The sequence below is a fragment of the Homo sapiens genome, chromosome X, assembly GCF_000001405.40.
Source record: "Homo sapiens chromosome X, GRCh38.p14 Primary Assembly".
Classification (NCBI taxonomy): Eukaryota; Metazoa; Chordata; class Mammalia; order Primates; family Hominidae; genus Homo; species Homo sapiens.
The window spans coordinates 108,565,991-108,579,979 of record NC_000023.11 but is presented as its reverse complement, the minus strand read 5'-3'; the positions used below and the strand labels follow the sequence as shown (position 1 = coordinate 108,579,979).

Genomic DNA, 13,989 nt, shown 5'->3' with positions numbered 1-13,989 from the left:
CAAAATTAACTAGAGCTATCTTTGCTCATTTCAGTTAATTTTTTGTCTATATACAAGCCAAGATTTGAGGTAAATAACAAGGCAACACTTAAAATGAAAATAATGACAATTTTTTATTCTTATAAAATATTTTATAAAAAGCAAGAATACCTAAAACAAAGAGATTTTGGGGTCACACGGCATACATATATTTTGGGAGATAATTAAATGGCCAAATTCATATTGATGATAGAGTTTCAATACAACTTTTCCTTTATTCTTAACTTTCTTATTCACATTTAAGTGAAACAAAAATGCACACATTCTGTTTGTTAAAGTGTGGGCCAGTATGCTTTAAAAATATATCTAATTTCCCTCATCTACTCTAGCAAAAGCAGGGTATCAGATAATTATTTCTAAACACAACAAAGGTTTATAGAGTAACATTATCTTTCTCCTTGCATATCAGTGAAATGTAGGGAACACTGTCATCATTCTGACTTACCATAACCTAATTTTATACATGAATGGATTCTTCAAATAGCCAAAAATGGAAATAACCCAAATGCCCATCAACTGATGAATAAATGGATAAACAAAATGTAGACTATTTACACAATGAAATATTATTCAGCCATAAAAAGGAATGAAGCACTGATATGTGCTGCAAAGTGATTTAACATGAAAACACTATGCTAAGTAAAAGAAGCCAGACACAGAAGACCACATATTGTATGATTCCATTTATATGAAATATTCAGAATAGAAAAATTTACAGAGCCAAGAAGTAGATTAGTGATTACCTAGGGCTGGTCAATTTGGGGAGAAATAAGGAGTACAACTAACATAGGTATGGAGATTTTTTTGAGGAAGCCTCAGAATTTTCTAAAGTTAGATTGCACTGATAGTTTCACTACCCTGTGAATGCACTAAAAAAAAAATTGAATTGTACACTTTAAATGGGTGGATTATATGTATGTAGACTGTATCTTGATAAAGTTATTTTGAAAATTTAATGATCTTGGCCAGGCATGGTGGCTTATGCCTGAAATCCCAACACTTTGGGAGGCCGAGGCGGGCAGATCACGAGGTCAGGAGTTCGAGACCAGTCTGGCCAACATGGTGAAACCCCGTCTCTACTAAAAATACAATAATTAGCAGGGTGTGGTGGTGGGCACCTGTAATCCCAGCTACTTGGGAAGCTGAGGCAGGAGAATCGCTTGAACCTGGGAGGCGGAGGTTGCAGTGAGCCAAGATCATGCCATTGCACTCCAGCCTGGGTGACAAGAGCAAGACTTAGTCTCAAAAAAAAAAAAAAAATTAATAATCTCAAATCCTTGTTATTTAAAAAAAAATACCCTTATATATAACCACATTTCAGCTTATAATGCATTTTAATGGAATTCCACTTACATAGAAATATTATTTTTAACTTTTTATCATTTTATTTTTTTCAGCTTTATTGAGGTATAACTGACAAATTAAAAACTGTATATATCTAAGGTGTAAACAATGTGATGTTTTGATATACATATACATTGTGATGTGATTACCACCATCAAACTAATTAACATATCCATAGCAAGATTTTCATTGACTTCCTCCCTACTTACTCACCTGATCTCCTTTCTGAAACTCTACATCAATTGGTCTTTTCTGTTCACTGATCTGCCCAGGTGGCCCAGGTGGGCCCTGAAGACCTTGCTCACCCTGTTTGCAAGATAAAATAAGACAGTGGTGATACTTCATAATCTCCACAGACAGTAATATAACATGTAAGATAAGATAACTTCAAGAAGCAAGAGAAAGAAAAAGACAGTTCAAATGACTACAAAAAGAGAAAGCTGAGGGCTGAATAACCAGCTCTCTTTCTTTACTCACTTTTTCACCTTTGGGTCCCTGGAAATTTAAGCCCATATTCCCCTGGAGAGAGAAGTTTCCATTTAAAAATCTCACTGACAGTAAGAAAAGGAATCCACACCAAATAAAAGATATAAAGAAAAAGAAAATTACCTTAGGTCCTGGAAGTCCTGGTGGACCAGGAGGGCCCTAAGAAGAGAAGACAAAAGAGAAAATAAAATGTTATATTAATAAGTTAATTTTAAAAGTTATTTAGTTTCAGAAAGAGTAAGGTGTGAAAAAGCCCATCAAAATAGTATTTTCTTGTTTGTTTTCATTTTAGTCAGAGACACACATTTTAATTGATTAAAATGAGCTAGATGAATGTGAGTACCTCTGATGACAAAATAGAAATGGGCAAGAGAAAAAAGCTGGGATGGGCAGAGGTAGAGAGGTAGCCCCATTGTCAAAAATCAATTCAAAAGTTAATCTCAACAGACCCATCAAATTTTTCACATCAGAATTATAGGTAAACTTAGGTACCATAAAGCAATTAACTCTAATTAACTCTCAAGTTCTAAAAAGCATGTGTTTATTTTTTAAAATCCAGTTTGATTTTTATACAATATGACTTTGTGTATCTGAGAATGTTTCAAGGTTTAAAAAATTAAATAGGCACCTTTCTGCTCAAGTATGTTGCCTCTTAACCTCAATGGGCCTATTTATTTATATATTGTATCTTGGTGGCATTTCTTTCTTTCTTTCTTTCTTTTTTTTTTTTTTTTTTTTGAGAAGGAGTTTCCCTCTTGTTGCCCAGGCTGGAGTGCAATGGAACGATCTCGGCTCACCACAACCTCCGCCTCCTGGGTTCAAGCGATTTTCCTGTCTCAGCCTCCCGAGTAGCTGGGATTACAGGCATGTGCCATCATGCCTGGCTAATTTTTTGTATTTTTAGTAGAGATGGGGTTTCTCCATATTGGTCAGGCTGATCTCAAACTCCCAACCTCAGGTGATCCACCCACCTTAGCCTCCCAAAGTGCCGGGATTACAGGCATGAGCCACAGCACCTGGCCTCTTGGTGGCATTTCTAAGATTTGGCTTCACCTGTTGAATTAGCGTTAATTCAAGGAATATCCAGAAACGTAAAGTGAATCGGTTAAGTGGCCACAATGGTTGAGGAAATTCAAGGTGTAACAATATACTCAAGGGGCACCAATGTTCCAACAGCAGAATTAGGAAAAAGTGCGAAAGTCCATAGTTTCATGCTTTGCATGAAGTCTACAACTAAAACAAACAAAAGGGTTTTCTCATCTTCCCCCAAAAAGTTACAGGAAAGCAGAAATCACAATCTTTTCTGGTAGATTCTTCTAGCAGTTATCAAACATTATTTCCTTCACTCAAAAGTGCAGGACCAATTGTCACAAACAAAAATGTACAACCTATAAAGGTATAATGAAAACTGTCACTTAAATATATGGTAGATGAGAGATAGAGTGGCACATGAGAAATTACTTCTACTGAAATACAATTTTCTTGCCCTTTTAAGAGGGCAACAGCAAAGCTGTAAGTCCAAAACATGACTTGAATGAAATCTAAGTATTGCAGAAGTAAAAATACTTAGAATTTACTAGGATAGAAAATAAGAGTGACTACAGAGCTAGTAAAGTAAGAGAACCGGTTGCACATTCAGGATCTGTAGAAGTTTTTGGGGTACAAAAACCTGTGACCAATTGCATAGTGATCACTCCCCTCACCAATTCTACTGTTTTGTCCCAGGCGCCTAGGAAATGAGAGCCAATATTTTTTATGAAGCCCTGCTTTTGCTCTTCTTAAACAAACAATTGCAGTTTGAAGAAACATGTTTCATCAAGTGATTAGAAAACTGCCTTAAAAGACTTTCTGAAATGGCCAGAATTGACTTCAACACTGATACATCAAGAGCAACCAACAAAATATTTCATTGTAAATCTTTCCTTTTATATACCTCATTTTTCCATCTATAAAATGGAGCCATTACTTAGAATGCATATTATTCACCATATCATTGTAAAGTCACCTTTACATAAGAAAATTATAAATTATGAATGTTGAGAATGCATTATGTTTTCAAGTATTATAAATAATATTAATATTCCTGAAAGAAGTCAGAAAGGAAAGGGGGGGAAATTAAATTAAAGAAGAGAGCTTACCATCAAACCTGGTGGTCCTGGGGGACCAATTGGCCCTGGTATACCAGTGGGACCAGGTAGGCCCTGTTATAAAGTGAGTAAAGAAAATGATGAAAAAAAAGAAAAACAAGCCCCTTATTGTATTTTTTCTTTTTTTACACAAAGTCTCACTTGTGTCGCCCAGGCTGGAGTGCAATGGCATGATCTCAACTCACTGCGACCTCCGCCTCCTGGGTTCAAGCAATTCTCCTGCCTCAGCCTCCTGAGTAGCTGAGATTACAGGCACCTGCCACCAGGTCCGGCTAATTATCGTATTTTTAGTAGAGACGGGGTTTCACCATGTTGGCCAGGCTGGTCTTGATCTCATGACTTGGCCTCCCAAAGTGCCAGGATTACAGGCGTGAGCCACTGTGCCCGGCCCCCTAATTGTATCTTACAAAGAACTAAATGGATGAAATTTAGACTTCATTTAAACTTCAGTCGTCATTGGAATTCTGCTCTACAATTTTATCATTCAGCAATATTATAAGTGAAATTTTAAAATGCAAAGGGATAAAAGGATTAAGTAATTATAAGAAAACTTGTGGTTTAAAGTGGTAAATAAACATAAGACAAATAATAAGGAAAATTTACAAAACAAAGTGATAAAGGTATGCATTTAGTTAGGGCTTTTATGCTACCAATGAGAAGGGAAAGGCTACTACTTTCAAGATAGCTTCTCTAATTTTAAAATAGATAAGATTAAAGACAGAGGGAAATGAGAGGAACTGGGATAAATTATAAGAGAATGATACAAGTGTTATGGAATAATTTGGCATGTTAAAAACTGAAAATTTGGCCTACAATCTAGCAATTCTATACTTAGATATAAATCATGGATTTTTTTTTGTAATGAAAAAATTGTAGGCTGGGCACAGAGGCTTACACCTGTAATCCTCATACTTTTGGAGGCCTAAGCAGGAGGATCACTTGAGCTCAGATGTTTGAGACCAGCCTTGGCAACATGGTGAGAACTTGTCTCCACGAAAATTTTCAAAAAGTAGCCAGGTGTGGTGATGTGCACCTATGGTCCCAGCTACTCAGGAAGCTGAGGTGGGAGGATTGCTTAAGCCCAGGAGGTTAAGACTGCAGTGAGCCATGATCATGCCACTGCACTCCGGTCTGGGCAAGAGTGCAAGATGCTATCTCAAAACAACAACAACAACAACAAACACCACATAAAACAAAAAACACCAAATGGTAGTATGTCCACAAATGGAAAGTTATATGAAAGTGAAACAGAGTGAACTAAAGCCATATCCAATAATATGGATGAATCTTAGCATATCAAGTAGAAAAAGTAAGTTGCAGAAAACTACATAAATATTACATTATTTTATAAAGCAAAGCTAAATATTCTATTGCTTAGAAATATATGCATATATAATAAAGCTATTTTTAAGGCACAGATGGTAGCTATGTCTTGGGGGAATGCAGAAGGATTTGATTACCAAGGGGGACACAGGTTGATTCAAAATTATTTGTAATTTTCTAGCTCTTAAATGTTGTTCACTTTATAGTTATGCTTCATAACATACATATATTTTGCATGTATTCTGTTGTATTTTCAAATATTACTTCATAACAATTTATAAAATATAAAGGGCAAGATTGAGTGAATTTTAAAAACTATGGATGGGTGATATCAAGTAAGGAATGACAAGGTAGCTAATGAAAAAAGTCCCCAATCTTGTATCTTAGTGATAAACTACCAGGAAGTTTTGATTTTTCATTTTTGGCAAAGGATTCGATTATCATGAAATATAAACCCTAAGAAATTGACCTCCTAATCTATACTCAAAAGTTACTGCTCTCTCTATGCATGTTTTCTGTAGGCTAAAATTTTTTTCTTAAGATTACATTTGATGTTCACCATGCATAAACTGTATTCCTTCAGCCTTCAAAATATGTTCATATATTATGCATAACTGATAGTGTTACAAATGATATATCTTAATATATTCAATGGGACTTCCATAATTTTTATTTTTAATTAGGTCTTTTGTAAATGTACAAAAGACCCTACTGCTCTCCACAGTACAAGAATAAGAATATAGAACCCTATTTCTGCTGCCAATCCCCAAAACACTGGATAGAAAGGCAAAAGAATGAAGCCGATGTTGTTAAAATTCTCCCTGGTCCAGATTGCTTTTATTTTCAGGTAGAAAGTACATGTAATGTCTAGTAAACATCTGATGATAATTTTTATGACAAAAACAGAGAGTACTAAAGGTTGAGGGATTGTTGTAATCTTCTGGTTTAATCAATATAGCAAAAAAAGAAAATCACTGGATACTTACTTGTATTCCAGGAGGACCTGGATATCCTGGATTACCCTTTGGTCCTGGCAGTGATGACATAATTATACTACCTGGTTCACCCTAAAAGAAGCCATCAATGGAAGTTCTAAGACACAGTTATTATACATGAAAACCAGCAAAACCAGAAAAATGATCTGAAGATTCAATTTGTAACAGAGATGTACTAAAAGATTAGGCCATCTCAGTAATAAAAATGATAAGTTTACCTTTTAAAGGAAAATGAGGAAGTGGCCAGAGTACACTGAAGAACAGTAGATTTATTAAGAGTGTAGTACCTTCAGTTACTCATTAAAAAATATGTAGTAAATATTAAGTATTTGCCAACAATTGTGGTAGGTTCTGGGTAATCAGTAATGGAGAAGATAAACAAGGCCTCTGTTCTCATAAAGCTAACAATATAATGGGAAAATACAGACCCTAATATGTAAAAATATAAGATGACAATATCAAGGGCTGTGAATATTAAGGGCTATGAAGAAAAATAACATGGTACAATAATTGAAAAAAAAAAACTAGTGGAGAAAATTAGCTTGGGTAGTCAAAGAAGGGCAATCTGTGAAGGTAACATTCAGGTTAAGACCTGAAGGATAATAAGGAGTCATCCAGGCAAAGATAGGAGGAAGAATATTAGGCAAAGTAAACCATATATACAAAAGACCCTAAAAGCAAAACGTTTGGCACATCCCAATAACTAAATGCAGACTGATGTGGTCAGTGAGCTAAGGGATAAGTTTAGTGGTTTAAGATAAGGCTGTCAATGTAGGCAAGGACCAGAGCATGCAGTTCTTACAAACAAACTATGGACTTTACCTTAGATACACAGTAGAAAGCCCTTGAAGGTTTATAAGCATATTAAATTATCAATGAACACTTTTAAAATGTCATTCTTGGTTGCTTTGTAAAGAATAAAACAGGATGGGAGGTAAGGGCGGAGTAGTGGTGAAAAAAAGAGACTAGAGACTACGTAAGAGGTTATTGCAGTAATCCAGATGAGACATTATGATTAACGTGGTAACAGTGGGAATGAAGAAAAGTGGATGAATTTAAGGTGCCTTTTACAGGCACACTTAGTGTTTAGTGATGGAATTGAATGAGGTGGTGGGTGAAGGAATGGAAGATATAAATATTAACTCCCAGGTTTTGAGATCGTGTAAAAGTGTACATAACATATAAAGATGCAAATTTGAGATATGAGGAGCCACAGGGAGGAGCGGGTTTATTTTGTGGGTGGATTAACTTGGAACATGTGGAGATGTCAGAGAGGCTGATGAATACACATAGCTAACTCAGAAGAAAAGTCTCATTTGGTATTTAGTAACTAGATAGTAATCAATAATATGGGCATTAGTAATATTTCTGGGCATTGCAGGGAAGGAGTACAGACTGTGACCTGATGCTTGATGGACATAAAATAATGACCTTACATAGAAGACTGCAAATTAACCAGAGGTGTAGAAGAAAAATCAGGAAAGGATAGTGTCACAGAGGCCAGGGAAAAAAGTAATTCTACAGAGAGTAAGTGGTTAACTGTATCAAAGTGTAAGAAGATGAAGACTTAAAGTGTCAGCAAAGAAACTCAAGTCTGATATACACATTTTCAAGTGTATCAGCACATACAAGGTACTTAAAGCCATGGGAACACAGGAGACTACTTAAGGAGAGCTTGTAAGTTTACACCTGCACAACTTCTAGAAACATCGATTTTAAGACAGAAGTTTGAGTCATTATCCTATTGAAGTTGCCAGCTTTCCTAATATTTTATTCAAAACATTTGTTCCCCAGAATGAGATGCTTACCTTCATACCTGGGATCCCAGGGGGTCCCTATTATTAAAAAGAAAAGGGATTATTTTATATGTATGAGAGAGAAACACGCCAATTACAGAATGCTTTCTAAATAGAGTATAAAATGAGTAGACTGCTGTAGCGTCATTTCTGAATAGGATATACCTTAGGATACTTAGAGGTGACATTTATATACATACAAAATCCTTGCTTTTGCCCAGGAGAAAGCTATATTACCAACTTCTTTTTGAAACATTTTCCTCTAGTTTATTACTTTAAAATGTATTACTTTGTTCCACATGAATGCATTGGGCTCTCTCACTACATTTCTGCTTCTTTTGTTAATTCCTGTGTTCATCATAATCCCAAATTTTATAACTTACTGGAGGACCCTGTAAACCAGGAAAACCGGGACTGCCTGGAAATCCACGTTCTCCCTAGAAGGAGTTAAAAATAAAGAGCATGGAGGAACAAGAAACAAAGAATAACTATACCATCAAGATATGACTTCTTGAAAAGATTTCTATAAAAGCCATTTTGAAACATGCCAGATTGCCAAAAAGTTCATTAGCCTTCACTTTCCAATTACTTCAATATCAACTATCCATATCAATTCAACTTTTATCCCAATTCATCTATCCCAATTAGAAGTAAAGAAAAAAAATTATCTACCTCAGTTCTTTTCTTCCAACAAAGACATTTTGAGACGATCACGCCATAAATTCTATCATCACATTTAATAGTTAATGATCTGCCCCATTTCCTGCCCATGTGTTATATAGATTCTTATTTTAACTGCTCTGTTGCATTTTTCTTTTATTGTAAACTATTTCAAATTATTTTTGTAAAGGGGAAAAGATGGTAAGAAAGAAGGCCATTAATATCACCAAGAGGACAATAATAGCAATAGTTCTAGCAATTGCAGGTCATTATGTTTTCTAGGCACCCAGCTTTTCTCACTCACTACTGTAAAGTACTAATATGGACACTTGGTTTAGAAAACAAAAGCTGAAATTGCTGTAGAAGAACACCAAAGCAACCTCCTTTCAAATACCTGTATGCCACGGTAATCCTAGAAACAACTTCATCAGAAGGTTTGAAAGAATAAAATTACTACTGTTGTGTGTCTTTGTGAGTCCAATACCCTTCTCTCCACCTTGTTACACATGGAAAAAGTAGGTCCCGAGAGAAAGGAAGTGGCCTAGACATCAAGTTTAAAAGACAGAAAAAGAAAAAAACCTATACATTGTGGCTCCAACTTTAAAGTTCATTCTTTTACTTACATAGTAAGAAATATAAGAAAAGCATTCAGACTTTAAAAATATGCATAATAAATCAATTTAATTTGTTTAAAATTTGTTACTCACATAATTGGAAGCCTGAAACACAAGTTAATCAATGCTCCCTTTAATCATATAGCACACTGTACTGATTATAGATACATTGGCCCTTCAAATTTGAAACTTTGGTTAGTGGTCTGTTTGTTTCTTAAAGCACACTGGCAAAAATAAATAAGTAAATAAAAATAAACAAATAACCAGAAGAGGCACAAAAATTTAGTCCAATTTAACATGAAATGTATCAGGCAAACCAACTCCACATTGGTCTTATCACTTTAAGGTTGCCCTAGCTAAAATGAAGAACACGATTAGTCCTCATGAATCCAAAATTTTTTTTAAAAATTATTATTATTGACAAGGGTTACATTGACCTGAAGAAATACTGGAGATGAAAAGAACTGTACTGCCTCAAGTATAGAGTACAGTAATTATCACAAAATATGGCCACTGTAATGCAAAATAGTTGTTCAAGTTATTTTAAAAATATGCCCTATATAAAATCTGACATATGCCATTAGTTAGAAAGATCTGGCCGGGCGCGGTGGCTCGCACCTGTAATCCCAGCACTTTGAGAGGCTGAGGCAGGCGGATCAAGAGGTCAGGAATTCGAGACCAGCCTGACCAACATGGTGAAACCCCATCTCTACTAAAAATACAAAACAATTAGCTGGGCATTGTGGTGCGTGCCTGTAATCCCAGCTGCTCAGGAGGCTGAGGCAGGAGAATCACTTGAACCCGGGAGGCAGAGGTTGCAGTGAGCCGAGATCGTGACATTGCACTCCAGCATGGGCAACAGAGCAAGACTCTGTCTCAAAAAACAAAAAACAAAAAACAAACAAAAACAAAGAAAGAAAGAAAGAAGGACCTAAGGTATTTTATGAATAGTTTTACAGAATATTATGTGAAAAACAGAAAATACCAAAAGAAAATACAGAGAATAACAATATATTGCATTAACCTAAAGGAAAAGGAGAAAGGGGAGGGAATAAGAATTGGCTATAATATTGTAAGCTTACAAGCAGAGCAAATTTTCCTCATTTTTTCTTATTATCTATTACTTTATATTCAATCCAACAGTTGACTAAAGAGAAGAAACATTGGATCAGAAAAAAAAATGTTTGCTATATCTAAAGTTAGGGTTATTTAAAATTGTTAAATGTATCATCTTTGCTGATGAAGAAGTTTCAGGTTTCATACTGACAGTTTATAGTAAAAACGGATGTGCTGTATTACATATAATTTTTTAAGATTTTTCTTAAGGAAGTTATTCGGCGTGTTAAAAAATCTTAAAAACATGAAATATTTGAAAACATAAATTGTACCTAGTTTTTTAATAATGGCAAAGCAAATGAATGACATTCAGAAGTATTACTTTCAACAATTGATATAATATTTGAAACATATATATCCTAATTTCGTTTTAATTCTCATCCTACTTTATGCTAAAGTCAAAAAAGGGTTTGGTAAGTAATCTTTAACCCAATGCAATATCCCAGCTAATTATACATGTTTAATGAAATTATTGATAGTTCAATATATAGAAAATTATAGTCAGAGCATACTTTATGTAATAGCCAAGACCTGAAGACACTATATCCCTTCTTCTACATTCTTCATATTGATTTCTTTAGGTTTTTAAGTTAATTATTGTCAAGTATACTACCCAAGATTAAATGGATGGATCTCACCTTGGTTCCATTGCATCCGGGAATACCTTGAGGTCCTGGGGCCCCATCGTGGCCTGGCATTCCCTTTGAAAAGCGACATAACACATGTATAATATGTCTTAGATTACTTTTCAAGAGATTTCAAAGTAAAAAGTGAAATGCTACTTACAGGAAGACCTGGTGTCCCTGGAAATCCAGGAAGTCCAGGAGGACCCTATAAGAAGAAATAAAATCCTTAAACTAAATGACAACCCATAAAAATAAAATAATATCCTACCTAAGGATATTATGAAAATTATTTTAGAATAGATTTGGAAAAATTGTGTCTCACTATTTATTACTACTCATTGTTCTTTGAAACATTAGAGAAAAATCTCTTACATGTGTTTAAAAGTCTCTTTTATTGAAAACTATAAAAGAAACTTCAATTTGAGGGAGCATTGTCTTCATTGCACTTATTAGGAGCAGGCAAATTCGTGGATGAAATGTCTCTTCTAATGGATAAGGATCTCCCAGGTTTGTGATGAAAAATTAATTCAGCAGGGGATGGGGGAGTGGCAAATATATTTCCACTGAAGACATTAATAGTGATCACCCCCAAAATTCTTAAATTTCTCTGTCATGATTGGCAAAAATACAAGTTTGACAATATTCTCTGTAGGTGAGACTATGGTGAAAAAGTATTCTCATATACTGCTAATGAAGATTCAAACTCTATGGAGAGAAATTTGAAAATATCTAGCAAAATTACCCATGCATTTGCCCTTTGACCTAGCATTTCACTTCTAAGAATCTGTCCTGAAGATACCCTAGAAATTATGAAACAAAATATGAGAAACAAAGTTAACAATTGCAGCATTATTATAGCTAAAGTTTAGAAACAACCATGTAACCAGTTATAGTTAAAATTAGAAACAACTTGATATGGTTTTGCTGTGTCCTCACCCAAATCTTATCTTGAATTGTAGCTCCCATAATTCCCACGTGTTGTGGGAGGGACCCGGTGGGAGATAATTGAATCATGGGGGTGGTTTCCCCCATACTGTTCTTGTGATAGTAAGTCTCACGAAATCTGATGGTTTTATAAGGTGTTTCCCCTTTCGCTTGGCTCTCATTTTCTCTTGTCTGCTGCCATGTATGATGTCCCTTTGCTCTTCCTTCATCTTCTGCCATGATTGTGAGGCCTCCGGAGCCATGTGGAACTGTGACTCCATTAAACCTCTTTCCTTTATAAATTACCTAGTCTTGGGTATGTCTTTATAAGCAGTGTGAGAACAGACTAATACACAACTCAAATGACCACCAATAGGAACATGACTAAATAAATTATGGCACATTCACATAATGTAAAACTATGATTACTATGTAAAAACTAATGATTACCTCTCAGAGGAAGATTAAAACACTAGGGAAATGGCAAGAATGAAAGAGAAGCATCTCTGACTACACCTTGTCTTATAAAACCACGTAGATGTTTTAAATAATTTAAAATTTTAAAAAAGGTAAAAAGGAAATCATTAAAAATGAAAAATAAATTGGATCCAGTGTACGTCTGTTTCAAGTTGTTGACAAAACCATACAGAGAAAAGAATTACTTCAAGTGCCTTTCATCAAACATGGTATCTTAACTCTAATTCTTTAGCAAAACTGGTCAATTCAAAGGGGGAAAACTCAACAAAGAAATAATTAATGGTTTTCAAGAATCCTATTATCCTATCATCACTATTAAAATTTAAATTTTTATTTTGTTAAGTTATACATTGTTATTTTAAAGCATATTGTAGGAAATAGGCATATTGTAGGAAAAAGCAAATAAGAAATTACATTTATGATATTAGGAATGAACATTTTCACCTCAATAGAGAGAGAGATGAGGGGAAGAGATAATAAGTATACAAAACCTTTCTTAATTTTAAATTGCAATTGGAAGCAATAATATGAACTCATGTTAATTTTTCTCTTAAAAATACATATTTCCACTGAGAAGACATTGAAACAGTGACAAATCGAGTAGCAATAAAAACCGCTCACTTTGGGAGGCCGAGGCGGGTGGATCACGAGGTCAGGAGATCCAGACCATCATGGTTAACACAGTGAAACCCCGTCTCTAATAAAAATCACAAAAAATTAGCCGGGCGTTGTGGTGGACGCCTGTAGCCCCAGCTACTCGGGAGGCTGAGGCAGGAGAATGGCGTGAACCCGGGAGGCGGAGCTTGCAGTGAGCCAAGATCGCGCCACTGCTCTCCAGCCTGGGCGACAGAGCGAGACTCCGTCTCCAAAAAAGAAAGAAAGAAAAAAAAAAAACCCTAACATTCAGGCTGTGGTATCTAAATCACATTTTTCACTAAAAAGAACCTGGAATCAGAGATATGTCCCATTTCAGATCTAAAGGGGAAATGCCAAGGATGAGCATGAAAGAGCTTGTTGTGTCAAAAAGGGAGAAGTTATGAAAGATCAATGGAGTTTTCTGAAAAGAGCACAGGACAGGAGTCAACTTTAAAAGGCTTTCACAGGCAAAAGATGGGACAAATTGGCCTTCAAAAAAATGACTAAAATTGATTGAAACACACAAATTCCATGTGCATATAATGAAAAAAAAAAAAAGTTGAAGAATTTTCCTTGATGACCACTTGAAGTTTCTGGTGTAGCAACTCATTGTCCTATTAGAATTCCAGCTAATAAATGAATGATTAATAGAATTTTAAAAATCAGCATCTTGCAAGTCTGAGCAAAATAATGACCATCCATGGGTGCCAAATCATTAGTCAAAGTTGACAGGGAAATTTTTGATGGCAGAATCAGGCTAATGTTATCTGAGACTACTGATCAAACCTAACATCAAAAAAAAAAAA

The 13,989-nt window shown here is 35.1% G+C and overlaps 1 protein-coding gene across 9 annotated transcripts in view; it reads right to left on the bottom strand.

The window, feature by feature from the left end:
- COL4A5 (collagen type IV alpha 5 chain) overlaps positions 1 to 13,989 on the bottom strand; it is a 257,708-nt gene that overhangs the window by 117,566 nt on the left and 126,153 nt on the right. For all 9 annotated transcript variants that reach the window (XM_047441810.1, NM_033380.3, NM_000495.5 and 6 more), the window contains 9 exons: positions 11,307 to 11,351; positions 11,159 to 11,221; positions 8,514 to 8,567; positions 8,143 to 8,169; positions 6,326 to 6,406; positions 4,008 to 4,070; positions 1,993 to 2,028; positions 1,861 to 1,902; positions 1,597 to 1,689 (listed from right to left, as the gene is read on the bottom strand). In XM_047441810.1, coding sequence (XP_047297766.1) covers positions 1,597 to 1,689; positions 1,861 to 1,902; positions 1,993 to 2,028; positions 4,008 to 4,070; positions 6,326 to 6,406; positions 8,143 to 8,169; positions 8,514 to 8,567; positions 11,159 to 11,218 — 456 coding nt within the window. In that variant the 5' untranslated portion in view covers positions 11,219 to 11,221; positions 11,307 to 11,351. The remainder of the gene's footprint in view (positions 1 to 1,596; positions 1,690 to 1,860; positions 1,903 to 1,992; positions 2,029 to 4,007; positions 4,071 to 6,325; positions 6,407 to 8,142; positions 8,170 to 8,513; positions 8,568 to 11,158; positions 11,222 to 11,306; positions 11,352 to 13,989) is intronic.